Raw genomic sequence first — 17,703 nt, 5'->3', positions numbered from 1 at the left:
ATAAAAACTAGAGAGAAGCATTGTCAGAAACTTCTTGGTGATGATTGCATTCAACTCACGGAGCTGAGGATTCCTTTTGATGCAGCAGTTTGGAAACACTCTTTCGGTGGAATCTGCAAGCGGATATGTGGACCTCTTTGAACATTTCGATGGAAAAGGGATAATCTTCCCGTAAAAGCTAAACGGAAGCATGCTCAGGAACTTCCTTGTGATGTTTGCATTCAACTCACAGAGTTGTACTTTCCTTTTGATAGAGCAGCTTTGAAACCCCCTCTTTCTAGCATCTGCAAGGCGACATTTGGAGGGCTTCGAGGCCTGGGGTGGAAAAGGAAATATCTTCTCATCAAAGCTACATGGAAGCATTCTCAGAAGCTGCTTTGTGATGATTGCATTCAAGTCACCGGGTTGAACATCCCCTTTGATGGGGCCGTTTGGAAACACACTTCTGGTAGAATCTGAAAGGGGAGATTTGGACCGCTTTGAGGCCTATGGCAGTAGAGGATATAACTGCACATAAAAGCGAGACAGGAGCATTCCCAGGAAACGCTTTGTGACGATTGAGTTCAACTCACAGAGCTGAACATTCCTTTGGGTGGAGCAGTTTCCAAACACACTTTGTGTAGAATCTGCAAGTGGAGATTTGGACCGCTCTGAGGATTTCGCTGGATACGGCAGAAAAGTCACCTACGTAAACAGAAGCATTCTCAGAACCTTCTTCGTGATGCTTACATTCAACTCACAGTGTTGAACCTTTCTCTGACAGTTCAGGTTTGAAACACTCCTTCTACAGAATCTGCCAGTGGAGATTTAGACCTCTTTGAGGCCTATCCTAGTAAAGGAAAGAACTTCATCTAAAAACAAGACGGAAGCATTCTCAGAAAATTCTTTGCGATGATTGAGTTTAACTCACAGAGCTGAGCATATCTTTTGATGGCGCATTTTCCAAACACACCTTTTGTGGAATATGCAAGTGGATTTTGGGACTTCTCTGAGAATTTCGTGGGAAACGGGATAAACCTCACATAACTGAAGAGGAACATCCTGAGAAGTTCTTGGTGATGTTGGCATTCAACTGACAGAGTTGAACCTTCCCTTGTGAGTTCAGGTTGAAACGCTCTTTTCGTAGTATCTGCAAGTGGAGGTTTGGAACGCTTTGAGGCCTACGGTAGTAAAGGAAAGAGCTTCACGTAAAAACTGGGCAGAAGCATTCTCAGAAAATACTTCGGGACGATTGAGTTCAACTCATAGAGCTGAACATTCCTTTGGGTGGAGCAGTTTTGAAACACACTTTTTGTAGACTCTGCAGGTGGATATTTGGACCTCTCTGAGGATTTCGTTGGAAACGGGATAACGTCACCTAACTAAACAGAAGCTTTCGCAGAAACATCCTTCTGACGTTGGCCTTCAAAGTCTAGAGTTGAGCCTTCCTTTGGTAGTTCACGTTTGAAACACTCTTTTTGGAGGACCTGCAAGTGGATATTTGGAGCACTTTGTGGCCTTCGTTCGAAACGGCTATATCTTCACGTAAAATCTAGACAGAAGCCTTCTCAGAAACTTCTCTGTGATGATTGCATGCAACTCACAGAGTTGAACATTCCTTTTGATGGAGCAGTTTTGAAACTCTCTTTTGCTAGCATCTGCAAATGGATAGGTGGAACTCTGTGAAGACTTCTTTGGAAACGGGAATATCCTCACGTAAAAAGTAAACAGAAGCATTCTCAGAAACTCCTTTGTGAGGCTTGTGTTCAACCCCCAGAGTATAACATTGCTTTTCATAGAGCAGTTTTGAAACATTCTTTTCGTAGAGCCTCCAAGTGGACATTTGGAGCGCTTTCAGGCCTGCGGTGGAAAAGGAAATATCTTCACATAAAAACTAGAGAGAAGCATTGTCAGAAACTTCTTGGTGATGATTGCATTCAACTCACGGAGCTGAGGATTCCTTTGGATGCAGCAGTTTGGAAACACTCTTTCGGTGGAATCTGCAAGCGGATATGTGGACCTCTTTGAACATTTCGATGGAAAAGGGATAATCTTCCCGTAAAAGCTAAACGGAAGCATGCTCAGGAACTTCCTTGTGATGTTTGCATTCAACTCACAGAGTTGTACTTTCCTTTTGATAGAGCAGCTTTGAAACCCCCTCTTTCTAGCATCTGCAAGGGGACATTTGGAGGGCTTCGAGGCCTGGGGTGGAAAAGGAAATATCTTCTCATCAAAGCTACATGGAAGCATTCTCAGAAGCTGCTTTGTGATGATTGCATTCAAGTCACCGAGTTGAACATCCCCTTTGATGGGGCCGTTTGGAAACACACTTCTGGTAGAATCTGAAAGGGGAGATTTGGACCGCTTTGAGGCCTATGGCAGTAGAGGATATAACTGCACATAAAAGCGAGACAGGAGCATTCCCAGGAAACGCTTTGTGACGATTGAGTTCAACTCACAGAGCTGAACATTCCTTTGGGTGGAGCAGTTTCCAAACACACTTTGTGTAGAATCTGCAAGTGGAGATTTGGACCGCTCTGAGGATTTCGCTGGATACGGCAGAAAAGTCACCTACGTAAACAGAAGCATTCTCAGAACCTTCTTCATGATGCTTACATTCAACTCACAGTGTTGAACCTTTCTCTGACAGTTCAGGTTTGAAACACTCCTTCTGCAGAATCTGCCAGTGGAGATTTGGACCTCTTTGAGGCCTATCGTAGTAAAGGAAAGAACTTCATCTAAAAACAAGACGGAAGCATTCTCAGAAAATTCTTTGCGATGATTGAGTTTAACTCACAGAGCTGAGCATATCTTTTGATGGCGCATTTTACAAACACACCTTTTGTGGAATATGCAAGTGGATTTTGGGACTTCTCTGAGAATTTCGTGGGAAACGGGATAAACCTCACATAACTGAAGAGGAACATTCTCAGATCTTCTTGGTGATGTTGGCATTCAACTGACAGAGTTGAACCTTCCCTTGTGAGTTCAGGTTGAAACGCTCTTTTCGTAGTATCTGCAAGTGGAGGTTTGGAACGCTTTCAGGCCTACGGTAGTAAAGGAAACAGCTTCACGTAAAAACTGGGCAGAAGCATTCTCAGAAAATACTTCGGGACGATTGAGTACAACTCACAGAGCTGAACATTCCTTTGGGTGGAGCAGTTTGGAAACACACTTTTTGTAGACTCCGCAGGTGGATATTTGGACCTCTCTGAGTATTTCGTTGGAAACGGGATAACGTCACCTAACTAAACAGAAGCTTTCGCAGAAACATCCTTCTGACGTTGGCCTTCAAAGTCTAGAGTTGAGCCTTCCTTTGGTAGTTCACGTTTGAAACACTCTTTTTGGAGGACCTGCAAGTGGATATTTGGAGCACTTTGTGGCCTTCGTTCGAAACGGCTATATCTTCACATACAATCTAGACAGAAGCCTTCTCAGAAACTTCTCTGTGATGATTGCATGCAAGTCACAGAGTTGAACATTCCTTTTGATGGAGCAGTTTTGAAACTCTCTTTTGCTAGCATCTGCAAATGGATAGGTGGAACTCTGTGAAGACTTCTTTGGAAACGGGAATATCCTCACGTAAAAAGTAAACACAAGCATTCTCAGAAACTCCTTTGTGAGTCTTGTGTTCAACTCCCAGAGTATAACATTGCTTTTCATAGAGCAGTTTTGAAACATTCTTTTCGTAGAGCCTCCAAGTGGACATTTGGAGCGCTTTCAGGCCTGCGGTGGAAAAGGAAATATCTTCACATAAAAACTAGAGAGAAGCATTGTCAGAAACTTCTTGGTGATGATTGCATTCAACTCACGGAGCTGAGGATTCCTTTGGATGCAGCAGTTTGGAAACACTCTTTGTGTGGAATCTGCAAGCGGATATGTGGACCTCTTTGAACATTTCGATGGAAAAGGGATAATCTTCCCGTAAAAGCTAAACGGAAGCATGCTCAGGAACTTCCTTGTGATGTTTGCATTCAACTCACAGAGTTGTACTTTCCTTTTGATAGAGCAGCTTTGAAACCCCCTCTTTCTAGCATCTGCAAGGGGACATTTGGAGGGCTTCGAGGCCTGGGGTGGAAAAGGAAATATCTTCTCATCAAAGCTACATGGAAGCATTCTCAGAAGCTGCTTTGTGATGATTGCATTCAAGTCACCGAGTTGAACATCCCCTTTGATGGGGCCGTTTGGAAACACATTTCTGGTAGAATCTGAAAGGGGAGATTTGGACCGCTTTGAGGCCTATGGCAGTAGAGGATATAACTGTACATAAAAGCGAGACAGGAGCATTCCCAGGAAACGCTTTCTGACCATTGAGTTCAACTCACAGAGCCGAACATTCCTTTGGGTGGAGCAGTTTCCAAACACACTTTGTGTAGAATCTGCAAGTGGAGATATGGACCGCTCTGAGGATTTCGCTGGATATGGGAGAAAAGTCACCTACGTAAACAGAAGCATTCTCAGAACCTTCTTCGTGATGCTTGCATTCAACTCACAGTGTTGAACCTTTCTCTGACAGTTCAGGTTTGAAACACTCCTTCTGCAGAATCTGCCAGTGGAGATTTGGACCTCTTTGAGGCCTATCGTAGTAAAGGAAAGAACTTCATCTAAAAACAAGACGGAAGCATTCTCAGAAAATTCTTTGCGATGATTGAGTTTAACTCACAGAGCTGAGCATATCTTTTGATGGCGCATTTTACAAACACACCTTTTGTAGAATATGCAAGTGGATTTTGGGACTTCTCTGAGAATTTCGTGGGAAACGGGATAAACCTCACATAACTGAAGAGGAACATTCTCAGATCTTCTTGGTGATGTTGGCATTCAACTGACAGAGTTGAGCCTTCCCTTGTGAGTTCAGGTTGAAACGCTCTTTTCGTAGTATCTGCAAGTGGAGGTTTGGAACGCTTTCAGGCCTACGGTAGTAAAGGAAACAGCTTCACGTAAAAACTGGGCAGAAGCATTCTCAGAAAATACTTCGGGACGATTGAGTACAACTCACAGAGCTGAACATTCCTTTGGGTGGAGCAGTTTGGAAACACACTTTTTGTAGACTCCGCAGATGGATATTTGGACCTCTCTGAGTATTTCGTTGGAAACGGGATAACGTCACCTAACTAAACAGAAGCTTTCGCAGAAACATCCTTCTGACGTTGGCCTTCAAAGTCTAGAGTTGAGCCTTCCTTTGGTAGTTCACGTTTGAAACACTCTTTTTGGAGGACCTGCAAGTGGATATTTGGAGCACTTTGTGGCCTTCGTTCGAAACGGCTATATCTTCACATACAATCTAGACAGAAGCCTTCTCAGAAACTTCTCTGTGATGATTGCATGCAAGTCACAGAGTTGAACATTCCTTTTGATGGAGCAGTTTTGAAACTCTCTTTTGCTAGCATCTGCAAATGGATAGGTGGAACTCTGTGAAGACTTCTTTGGAAACGGGAATATCCTCACGTAAAAAGTAAACACAAGCATTCTCAGAAACACCTTTGTGAGTCTTGTGTTCAACTCCCAGAGTATAACATTGCTTTTCATAGAGCAGTTTTGAAACATTCTTTTCGTAGAGCCTCCAAGTGGACATTTGGAGCGCTTTCAGGCCTGCGGTGGAAAAGGAAATATCTTCACATAAAAACTAGAGAGAAGCATTGTCAGAAACTTCTTGGTGATGATTGCATTCAACTCACGGAGCTGAGGATTCCTTTGGATGCAGCAGTTTGGAAACACTCTTTGTGTGGAATCTGCAAGCGGATATGTGGACCTCTTTGAACATTTCGATGGAAAAGGGATAATCTTCCCGTAAAAGCTAAACGGAAGCATGCTCAGGAACTTCCTTGTGATGTTTGCATTCAACTCACAGAGTTGTACTTTCCTTTTGATAGAGCAGCTTTGAAACCCCCTCTTTCTAGCATCTGCAAGGGGACATTTGGAGGGCTTCGAGGCCTGGGGTGGAAAAGGAAATATCTTCTCATCAAAGCTACATGGAAGCATTCTCAGAAGCTGCTTTGTGATGATTGCATTCAAGTCACCGAGTTGAACATCCCCTTTGATGGGGCCGTTTGGAAACACATTTCTGGTAGAATCTGAAAGGGGAGATTTGGACCGCTTTGAGGCCTATGGCAGTAGAGGATATAACTGTACATAAAAGCGAGACAGGAGCATTCCCAGGAAACGCTTTCTGACCATTGAGTTCAACTCACAGAGCCGAACATTCCTTTGGGTGGAGCAGTTTCCAAACACACTTTGTGTAGAATCTGCAAGTGGAGATATGGACCGCTCTGAGGATTTCGCTGGATATGGGAGAAAAGTCACCTACGTAAACAGAAGCATTCTCAGAACCTTCTTCGTGATGCTTGCATTCAACTCACAGTGTTGAACCTTTCTCTGACAGTTCAGGTTTGAAACACTCCTTCTGCAGAATCTGCCAGTGGAGATTTGGACCTCTTTGAGGCCTATCGTAGTAAAGGAAAGAACTTCATCTAAAAACAAGACGGAAGCATTCTCAGAAAATTCTTTGCGATGATTGAGTTTAACTCACAGAGCTGAGCATATCTTTTGATGGCGCATTTTACAAACACACCTTTTGTGGAATATGCAAGTGGATTTTGGGACTTCTCTGAGAATTTCGTGGGAAACGGGATAAACCTCACATAACTGAAGAGGAACATTCTCAGAACTTCTTGGTGATGTTGGCATTCAACTGACAGAGTTGAACCTTCCCTTGTGAGTTCAGGTTGAAACGCTCTTTTCGTAGGATCTGCAAGTGGAGGTTTGGAACGCTTTGAGGCCTACGGTAGTAAAGGAAACAGCTTCATGTAAAAACTGGGCAGAAGCATTCTCAGAAAATACTTCGGGACGATTGAGTACAACTCACAGAGCTGAACATTCCTTTGGGTGGAGCAGTTTGGAAACACACTTTTTGTAGACTCCGCAGGTGGATATTTGGACCTCTCTGAGGATTTCGTTGGAAACGGGATAACGTCACCTAACTAAACAGAAGCTTTCGCAGAAACATCCTTCTGACGTTGGCCTTCAAAGTCCAGAGTTGAGCCTTCCTTTGGTAGTTCACGTTTGAAACACTCTTTTTGGAGGACCTGCAAGTGGATATTTGGAGCACTTTGTGGCCTTCGTTCGAAACGGCTATATCTTCATGTAAAATCTAGACAGAAGCCTTCTCAGAAACTTCTCTGTGATGATTGCATGCAACTCACAGAGTTGAACATTCCTTTTGATGGAGCAGTTTTGAAACTCTCTTTTGCTAACATCTGCAAATGTATAGGTGGAACTCTGTGAAGACTTCTTTGGAAACGGGAATATCCTCACGTAAAAAGTAAACAGAAGCATTCTCAGAAACTCCTTTGTGAGGCTTGTGTTCAACTCCCAGAGTATAACATTGCGTTTCATAGAGCAGTTTTGAAACATTCTTTTCGTAGAGCCTCCAAGTGGACATTTGGAGCGCTTTCAGGCCTGCGGTGGAAAAGGAAATATCTTCACATAAAAACTAGAGAGAAGCATTGTCAGAAACTTCTTGGTGATGATTGCATTCAACTCACGGAGCTGAGGATTCCTTTGGATGCAGCAGTTTGGAAACACTCTTTCGGTGGAATCTGCAAAAGGATATGTGGACCTCTTTGAACATTTCGATGGAAAAGGGATAATCTTCCCGTAAAAGCTAAACGGAAGCATGCTCAGGAACTTCCTTGTGATGTTTGCATTCAACTCACAGAGTTGTACTTTCCTTTTGATAGAGCAGCTTTGAAACCCCCTCTTTCTAGCATCGGCAAGGGGACATTTGGAGGGCTTCGAGGCCTGGGGTGGAAAAGGAAATATCTTCTCATCAAAGCTACATGGAAGCATTCTCAGAAGCTGCTTTGTGATGATTGCATTCAACTCACCGAGTTGAACATCCCCTTTGATGGGGCCGTTTGGAAACACACTTCTGGTAGAATCTGAAAGGGGAGATTTGGACCGCTTTGAGGCCTATGGCAGTAGAGGATATAACTGCACATAAAAGCGAGACAGGAGCATTCCCAGGAAACGCTTTGTGACCATTGAGTTCAACTCACAGAGCTGAACATTCCTTTGGGTGGAGCAGTTTCCAAACACACTTTGTGTAGAATCTGCAAGTGGAGATTTGGACCGCTCTGAGGATTTCGCTGGATACGGGAGAAAAGTCACCTATGTAAACAGAAGCATTGTCAGAACCTTCTTCGTGATGCTTGCATTCAACTCACAGTGTTGAACCTTTCTCTGACAGTTCAGGTTTGAAACACTCCTTCTGCAGAATCTGCAAGTGGAGATTTGTACCTCTTTGAGGCCTATCGTAGTAAAGGAAAGAACTTCATCTAAAAACAAGACGGAAGCATTCTCAGAAAATTCTTTGCGATGCTTGAGTTTAACTCACAGAGCTGAGCATATCTTTTGATGGCGCATTTTCCAAACACACCTTTTGTGGAATATGCAAGAGGATTTTGGGACTTCTCTGAGAATTTCGTTGGAAACGGGATAAACCTCACATAACTGAAGAGGAACATTCTCAGAACTTCTTGGTGATGTTGGCATTCAACTGACAGAGTTGAACCTTCCCTTGTGAGTTCAGGTTGAAACGCTCTTTTCGTAGGATCTGCAAGTGGAGGTTTGGAACGCTTTGAGGCCTACGGTAGTAAAGGAAACAGCTTCATGTAAAAACTGGACAGAAGCATTCTCAGAAAATGCTTTCGGACGATTGAGTTCAACTCACAGAGCTGAACATTCCTTTGGGTGGAGCAGTTTGGAAACACACTTTCTGTAGACTCCCCAGGTGGATATTTGGACCTCTCTGAGGATTTCGTTGGAAACGGGATAACGTCACCTAACTAAACAGAAGCTTTCGCAGAAACATCCTTCTGACGTTGGCCTTCAAAGTCCAGAGTTGAGCCTTCCTTTGGTAGTTCACGTTTGAAACACTCTTTTTGGAGGACCTGCAAGTGGATATTTGGAGCACTTTGTGGCCTTCGTTCGAAACGGCTATATCTTCACGTAAAATCTAGACAGAAGCCTTCTCAGAAACTTCTCTGTGATGATTGCATGCAACTCACAGAGTTGAACGTTCCTTTTGATGGAGCAGTTTTGAAACTTTCTTTTGCTAGCATCTGCAAATGGATAGGTGGAACTCTGTGAAGACTTCTTCGGAAACGGGAATATCCTCACGTAAAAAGTAAACAGAAGCATTCTCAGAAACTCCTTTGTGAGGCTTGTGTTCAACTCCCAGAGTATAACATTGCTTTTCATAGAGCAGTTTTGAAACATTCTTTTCGTAGAGCCTCCAAGTGGACATTTGGAGCGCTTTCAGGCCTGCGGTGGAAAAGGAAATATCTTCACATAAAAACTAGAGAGAAGCATTGTCAGAAACTTCTTGGTGATGATTGCATTCAACTCACGGAGCTGAGGATTCCTTTGGATGCAGCAGTTTGGAAACACTCTTTGGGTGGAATCTGCAAGCAGATATGTGGACCTCTTTGAACATTTCGATGGAAAAGGGATAATCTTCCCGTAAAAGCTAAACGGAAGCATGCTCAGGAACTTCCTTGTGATGTTTGCATTCAACTCACAGAGTTGTACTTTCCTTCTGATAGAGCAGCTTTGAAACCCCCTCTTTCTAGCATCTGCAAGGGGACATTTGGAGGGCTTCGAGGCCTGGGGTGGAAAAGGAAATATCTTCTCATCAAAGCTACATGGAAGCATTCTCAGAAGCTGCTTTGTGATGATTGCATTCAAGTCACTGAGTTGAACATTCCCTTTGATGGGGCCGTTTGGAAACACATTTCTGGTAGAATCTGAAAGGGGAGATTTGGACCGCTTTGTGGCCTATGTCAGTAGAGGATATAACTGTACATAAAAGCGAGAAAGGAGCATTCCCAGGAAACGCTTTGTGACCATTGAGTTCAACTCACAGAGCCGAACATTCCTTTGGGTGGAGCAGTTTCCAAACACACTTTGTGTAGAATCTGCAAGTGGAGATTTGGACCGCTCTGAGGATTTCGCTGGATACGGGAGAAAAGTCACCTACGTAAACAGAAGCATTCTCAGAACCTTCTTCGTGATGCTTGCATTCAACTCACAGTGTTGAACCTTTCTCTGACAGTTCAGATTTGAAACACTCCTTCTGCAGAATCTGCCAGTGGAGATTTGGACCTCTTTGAGGCCTATCGTAGTAAAGGAAAGAACTTCATCTAAAAACAAGACGGAAGCATTCTCAGAAAATTCTTTGCAATGATTGAGTTTAACTCACAGAGCTGAGCATATCTTTTGATGGCGCATTTTACAAACACACCTTTTGTGGAATATGCAAGTGGATTTTGGGACTTCTCTGAGAATTTCGTGGGAAACGGGATAAACCTCACATAACTGAAGAGGAACATTCTCAGAACTTCTTGGTGATGTTGGCATTCAACTGACAGAGTTGAACCTTCCCTTGTGAGTTCAGGTTGAAACGCTCTTTTCGTAGTATCTGCAAGTGGAGGTTTGGAACGCTTTCAGGCCTACGGTAGTAAAGGAAACAGCTTCACGTAAAAACTGGGCAGAAGCATTCTCAGAAAATACTTCGGGACGATTGAGTACAACTCACAGAGCTGAACATTCCTTTGGGTGGAGCAGTTTGGAAACACACTTTTTGTAGACTCCGCAGGTGGATATTTGGACCTCTCTGAGTATTTCGTTGGAAACGGGATAACGTCACCTAACTAAACAGAAGCTTTCGCAGAAACATCCTTCTGACGTTGGCCTTCAAAGTCCAGATTTGGCCTTCCTTTGGTAGTTCACGTTTGAAACACTCTTTTTGGAGGACCTGCAAGTGGATATTTGGAGCACTTTGTGGCCTTCGTTCGAAACGGCTATATCTTCACGTAAAATCTAGACAGAAGCCTTCTCAGAAACTTCTCTGTGATGATTGCATGCAACTCACAGAGTTGAACATTCCTTTTGATGGAGCAGTTTTGAAACTCTCTTTTGCTAGCATCTGCAAATGGATAGGTGGAACTCTGTGAAGACTTCTTTGGAAACGGGAATATCCTCACGTAAAAAGTAAACAGAAGCATTCTCAGAAACTCCTTTGTGAGGCTTGTGTTCAACTCCCAGAGTATAACATTGCTTTTCATAGAGCAGTTTTGAAACATTCTTTTCGTAGAGCCTCCAAGTGGACATTTGGAACGCTTTCAGGCCTGCGGTGGAAAAGGAAATATCTTCACATAAAAGCTAGAGGGAAGCATTGTCAGAAACTTCTTGGTGATGATTGCCTTCAACTCACGGAGCTGAGGATTCCTTTGGATGCAGCAGTTTGGAAACACTCTTTCGGTGGAATCTGCAAGCGGATATGTGGACCTCTTTGAACATTTCGATGGAAAAGGGATAATCTTCCCGTAAAAGCTAAACGGAAGCATGCTCAGGAACTTCCTTGTGATGTTTGCATTCAACTCACAGAGTTGTACTTTCCTTTTGATAGAGCAGCTTTGAAACCCCCTCTTTCTAGCATCTGCAAGGGGACATTTGGAGGGCTTCGAGGCCTGGGGTGGAAAAGGAAATATCTTCTCATCAAAGCTACATGGAAGCATTCTCAGAAGCTGCTTTGTGATGATTGCATTCAAGTCACCGAGTTGAACATCCCCTTTGATGGGGCCGTTTGGAAACACACTTCTGGTAGAATCTGAAAGGGGAGATTTGGACCGCTTTGAGGCCTATGGCAGTAGAGGATATAACTGCACATAAAAGCGAGACAGGAGCATTCCCAGGAAACGCTTTGTGACGATTGAGTTCAACTCACAGAGCTGAACATTCCTTTGGGTGGAGCAGTTTCCAAACACACTTTGTGTAGAATCTGCAAGTGGAGATTTGGACCGCTCTGAGGATTTCGCTGGATACGGCAGAAAAGTCACCTACGTAAACAGAAGCATTCTCAGAACCTTCTTCATGATGCTTACATTCAACTCACAGTGTTGAACCTTTCTCTGACAGTTCAGGTTTGAAACACTCCTTCTGCAGAATCTGCCAGTGGAGATTTGGACCTCTTTGAGGCCTATCGTAGTAAAGGAAAGAACTTCATCTAAAAACAAGACGGAAGCATTCTCAGAAAATTCTTTGCGATGATTGAGTTTAACTCACAGAGCTGAGCATATCTTTTGATGGCGCATTTTACAAACACACCTTTTGTGGAATATGCAAGTGGATTTTGGGACTTCTCTGAGAATTTCGTGGGAAACGGGATAAACCTCACATAACTGAAGAGGAACATTCTCAGATCTTCTTGGTGATGTTGGCATTCAACTGACAGAGTTGAACCTTCCCTTGTGAGTTCAGGTTGAAACGCTCTTTTCGTAGTATCTGCAAGTGGAGGTTTGGAACGCTTTCAGGCCTACGGTAGTAAAGGAAACAGCTTCACGTAAAAACTGGGCAGAAGCATTCTCAGAAAATACTTCGGGACGATTGAGTACAACTCACAGAGCTGAACATTCCTTTGGGTGGAGCAGTTTGGAAACACACTTTTTGTAGACTCCGCAGGTGGATATTTGGACCTCTCTGAGTATTTCGTTGGAAACGGGATAACGTCACCTAACTAAACAGAAGCTTTCGCAGAAACATCCTTCTGACGTTGGCCTTCAAAGTCTAGAGTTGAGCCTTCCTTTGGTAGTTCACGTTTGAAACACTCTTTTTGGAGGACCTGCAAGTGGATATTTGGAGCACTTTGTGGCCTTCGTTCGAAACGGCTATATCTTCACATACAATCTAGACAGAAGCCTTCTCAGAAACTTCTCTGTGATGATTGCATGCAAGTCACAGAGTTGAACATTCCTTTTGATGGAGCAGTTTTGAAACTCTCTTTTGCTAGCATCTGCAAATGGATAGGTGGAACTCTGTGAAGACTTCTTTGGAAACGGGAATATCCTCACGTAAAAAGTAAACACAAGCATTCTCAGAAACTCCTTTGTGAGTCTTGTGTTCAACTCCCAGAGTATAACATTGCTTTTCATAGAGCAGTTTTGAAACATTCTTTTCGTAGAGCCTCCAAGTGGACATTTGGAGCGCTTTCAGGCCTGCGGTGGAAAAGGAAATATCTTCACATAAAAACTAGAGAGAAGCATTGTCAGAAACTTCTTGGTGATGATTGCATTCAACTCACGGAGCTGAGGATTCCTTTGGATGCAGCAGTTTGGAAACACTCTTTGTGTGGAATCTGCAAGCGGATATGTGGACCTCTTTGAACATTTCGATGGAAAAGGGATAATCTTCCCGTAAAAGCTAAACGGAAGCATGCTCAGGAACTTCCTTGTGATGTTTGCATTCAACTCACAGAGTTGTACTTTCCTTTTGATAGAGCAGCTTTGAAACCCCCTCTTTCTAGCATCTGCAAGGGGACATTTGGAGGGCTTCGAGGCCTGGGGTGGAAAAGGAAATATCTTCTCATCAAAGCTACATGGAAGCATTCTCAGAAGCTGCTTTGTGATGATTGCATTCAAGTCACCGAGTTGAACATCCCCTTTGATGGGGCCGTTTGGAAACACATTTCTGGTAGAATCTGAAAGGGGAGATTTGGACCGCTTTGAGGCCTATGGCAGTAGAGGATATAACTGTACATAAAAGCGAGACAGGAGCATTCCCAGGAAACGCTTTGTGACCATTGAGTTCAACTCACAGAGCCGAACATTCCTTTGGGTGGAGCAGTTTCCAAACACACTTTGTGTAGAATCTGCAAGTGGAGATATGGACCGCTCTGAGGATTTCGCTGGATATGGGAGAAAAGTCACCTACGTAAACAGAAGCATTCTCAGAACCTTCTTCGTGATGCTTGCATTCAACTCACAGTGTTGAACCTTTCTCTGACAGTTCAGGTTTGAAACACTCCTTCTGCAGAATCTGCCAGTGGAGATTTGGACCTCTTTGAGGCCTATCGTAGTAAAGGAAAGAACTTCATCTAAAAACAAGACGGAAGCATTCTCAGAAAATTCTTTGCGATGATTGAGTTTAACTCACAGAGCTGAGCATATCTTTTGATGGCGCATTTTACAAACACACCTTTTGTAGAATATGCAAGTGGATTTTGGGACTTCTCTGAGAATTTCGTGGGAAACGGGATAAACCTCACATAACTGAAGAGGAACATTCTCAGATCTTCTTGGTGATGTTGGCATTCAACTGACAGAGTTGAGCCTTCCCTTGTGAGTTCAGGTTGAAACGCTCTTTTCGTAGTATCTGCAAGTGGAGGTTTGGAACGCTTTCAGGCCTACGGTAGTAAAGGAAACAGCTTCACGTAAAAACTGGGCAGAAGCATTCTCAGAAAATACTTCGGGACGATTGAGTACAACTCACAGAGCTGAACATTCCTTTGGGTGGAGCAGTTTGGAAACACACTTTTTGTAGACTCCGCAGATGGATATTTGGACCTCTCTGAGTATTTCGTTGGAAACGGGATAACGTCACCTAACTAAACAGAAGCTTTCGCAGAAACATCCTTCTGACGTTGGCCTTCAAAGTCCAGAGTTGAGCCTTCCTTTGGTAGTTCACGTTTGAAACACTCTTTTTGGAGGACCTGCAAGTGGATATTTGGAGCACTTTGTGGCCTTCGTTCGAAACGGCTATATCTTCACATACAATCTAGACAGAAGCCTTCTCAGAAACTTCTCTGTGATGATTGCATGCAAGTCACAGAGTTGAACATTCCTTTTGATGGAGCAGTTTTGAAACTCTCTTTTGCTAGCATCTGCAAATGGATAGGTGGAACTCTGTGAAGACTTCTTTGGAAACGGGAATATCCTCACGTAAAAAGTAAACACAAGCATTCTCAGAAACACCTTTGTGAGTCTTGTGTTCAACTCCCAGAGTATAACATTGCTTTTCATAGAGCAGTTTTGAAACATTCTTTTCGTAGAGCCTCCAAGTGGACATTTGGAGCGCTTTCAGGCCTGCGGTGGAAAAGGAAATATCTTCACATAAAAACTAGAGAGAAGCATTGTCAGAAACTTCTTGGTGATGATTGCATTCAACTCACGGAGCTGAGGATTCCTTTGGATGCAGCAGTTTGGAAACACTCTTTGTGTGGAATCTGCAAGCGGATATGTGGACCTCTTTGAACATTTCGATGGAAAAGGGATAATCTTCCCGTAAAAGCTAAACGGAAGCATGCTCAGGAACTTCCTTGTGATGTTTGCATTCAACTCACAGAGTTGTACTTTCCTTTTGATAGAGCAGCTTTGAAACCCCCTCTTTCTAGCATCTGCAAGGGGACATTTGGAGGGCTTCGAGGCCTGGGGTGGAAAAGGAAATATCTTCTCATCAAAGCTACATGGAAGCATTCTCAGAAGCTGCTTTGTGATGATTGCATTCAAGTCACCGAGTTGAACATCCCCTTTGATGGGGCCGTTTGGAAACACATTTCTGGTAGAATCTGAAAGGGGAGATTTGGACCGCTTTGAGGCCTATGGCAGTAGAGGATATAACTGTACATAAAAGCGAGACAGGAGCATTCCCAGGAAACGCTTTCTGACCATTGAGTTCAACTCACAGAGCCGAACATTCCTTTGGGTGGAGCAGTTTCCAAACACACTTTGTGTAGAATCTGCAAGTGGAGATATGGACCGCTCTGAGGATTTCGCTGGATATGGGAGAAAAGTCACCTACGTAAACAGAAGCATTCTCAGAACCTTCTTCGTGATGCTTGCATTCAACTCACAGTGTTGAACCTTTCTCTGACAGTTCAGGTTTGAAACACTCCTTCTGCAGAATCTGCCAGTGGAGATTTGGACCTCTTTGAGGCCTATCGTAGTAAAGGAAAGAACTTCATCTAAAAACAAGACGGAAGCATTCTCAGAAAATTCTTTGCGATGATTGAGTTTAACTCACAGAGCTGAGCATATCTTTTGATGGCGCATTTTACAAACACACCTTTTGTGGAATATGCAAGTGGATTTTGGGACTTCTCTGAGAATTTCGTGGGAAACGGGATAAACCTCACATAACTGAAGAGGAACATTCTCAGAACTTCTTGGTGATGTTGGCATTCAACTGACAGAGTTGAACCTTCCCTTGTGAGTTCAGGTTGAAACGCTCTTTTCGTAGGATCTGCAAGTGGAGGTTTGGAACGCTTTGAGGCCTACGGTAGTAAAGGAAACAGCTTCATGTAAAAACTGGGCAGAAGCATTCTCAGAAAATACTTCGGGACGATTGAGTACAACTCACAGAGCTGAACATTCCTTTGGGTGGAGCAGTTTGGAAACACACTTTTTGTAGACTCCGCAGGTGGATATTTGGACCTCTCTGAGGATTTCGTTGGAAACGGGATAACGTCACCTAACTAAACAGAAGCTTTCGCAGAAACATCCTTCTGACGTTGGCCTTCAAAGTCCAGAGTTGAGCCTTCCTTTGGTAGTTCACGTTTGAAACACTCTTTTTGGAGGACCTGCAAGTGGATATTTGGAGCACTTTGTGGCCTTCGTTCGAAACGGCTATATCTTCATGTAAAATCTAGACAGAAGCCTTCTCAGAAACTTCTCTGTGATGATTGCATGCAACTCACAGAGTTGAACATTCCTTTTGATGGAGCAGTTTTGAAACTCTCTTTTGCTAACATCTGCAAATGTATAGGTGGAACTCTGTGAAGACTTCTTTGGAAACGGGAATATCCTCACGTAAAAAGTAAACAGAAGCATTCTCAGAAACTCCTTTGTGAGGCTTGTGTTCAACTCCCAGAGTATAACATTGCGTTTCATAGAGCAGTTTTGAAACATTCTTTTCGTAGAGCCTCCAAGTGGACATTTGGAGCGCTTTCAGGCCTGCGGTGGAAAAGGAAATATCTTCACATAAAAACTAGAGAGAAGCATTGTCAGAAACTTCTTGGTGATGATTGCATTCAACTCACGGAGCTGAGGATTCCTTTGGATGCAGCAGTTTGGAAACACTCTTTCGGTGGAATCTGCAAAAGGATATGTGGACCTCTTTGAACATTTCGATGGAAAAGGGATAATCTTCCCGTAAAAGCTAAACGGAAGCATGCTCAGGAACTTCCTTGTGATGTTTGCATTCAACTCACAGAGTTGTACTTTCCTTTTGATAGAGCAGCTTTGAAACCCCCTCTTTCTAGCATCGGCAAGGGGACATTTGGAGGGCTTCGAGGCCTGGGGTGGAAAAGGAAATATCTTCTCATCAAAGCTACATGGAAGCATTCTCAGAAGCTGCTTTGTGATGATTGCATTCAACTCACCGAGTTGAACATCCCCTTTGATGGGGCCGTTTGGAAACACACTTCTGGTAGAATCTGAAAGGGGAGATTTGGACCGCTTTGAGGCCTATGGCAGTAGAGGATATAACTGCACATAAAAGCGAGACAGGAGCATTCCCAGGAAACGCTTTGTGACCATTGAGTTCAACTCACAGAGCTGAACATTCCTTTGGGTGGAGCAGTTTCCAAACACACTTTGTGTAGAATCTGCAAGTGGAGATTTGGACCGCTCTGAGGATTTCGCTGGATACGGGAGAAAAGTCACCTATGTAAACAGAAGCATTGTCAGAACCTTCTTCGTGATGCTTGCATTCAACTCACAGTGTTGAACCTTTCTCTGACAGTTCAGGTTTGAAACACTCCTTCTGCAGAATCTGCAAGTGGAGATTTGTACCTCTTTGAGGCCTATCGTAGTAAAGGAAAGAACTTCATCTAAAAACAAGACGGAAGCATTCTCAGAAAATTCTTTGCGATGCTTGAGTTTAACTCAC

The 17,703-nt window shown here is 43.5% G+C and overlaps 2 annotated features.

The window, feature by feature from the left end:
• Positions 3,581-4,180: an enhancer, noted in NCBI's record as "OCT4-NANOG hESC enhancer chr1:121422595-121423194 (GRCh37/hg19 assembly coordinates)". NCBI's record gives its function as "activates a minimal SCP1, AML or CMV promoter by ChIP-STARR-seq in primed H9 embryonic stem cells {active_cell/tissue: H9 hESC(primed)}" and the evidence as "EXISTENCE:reporter gene assay evidence [ECO:0000049][PMID:30033119]".
• Positions 16,693-17,664: an enhancer, noted in NCBI's record as "OCT4-NANOG hESC enhancer chr1:121409111-121410082 (GRCh37/hg19 assembly coordinates)". NCBI's record gives its function as "activates a minimal SCP1, AML or CMV promoter by ChIP-STARR-seq in primed H9 embryonic stem cells {active_cell/tissue: H9 hESC(primed)}" and the evidence as "EXISTENCE:reporter gene assay evidence [ECO:0000049][PMID:30033119]".

This window comes from Homo sapiens, chromosome 1 (assembly GCF_000001405.40).
Source record: "Homo sapiens chromosome 1, GRCh38.p14 Primary Assembly".
Lineage (NCBI taxonomy): Eukaryota > Metazoa > Chordata > Mammalia > Primates > Hominidae > Homo > Homo sapiens.
This window is presented reverse-complemented; position numbering and strand designations above follow the sequence as displayed.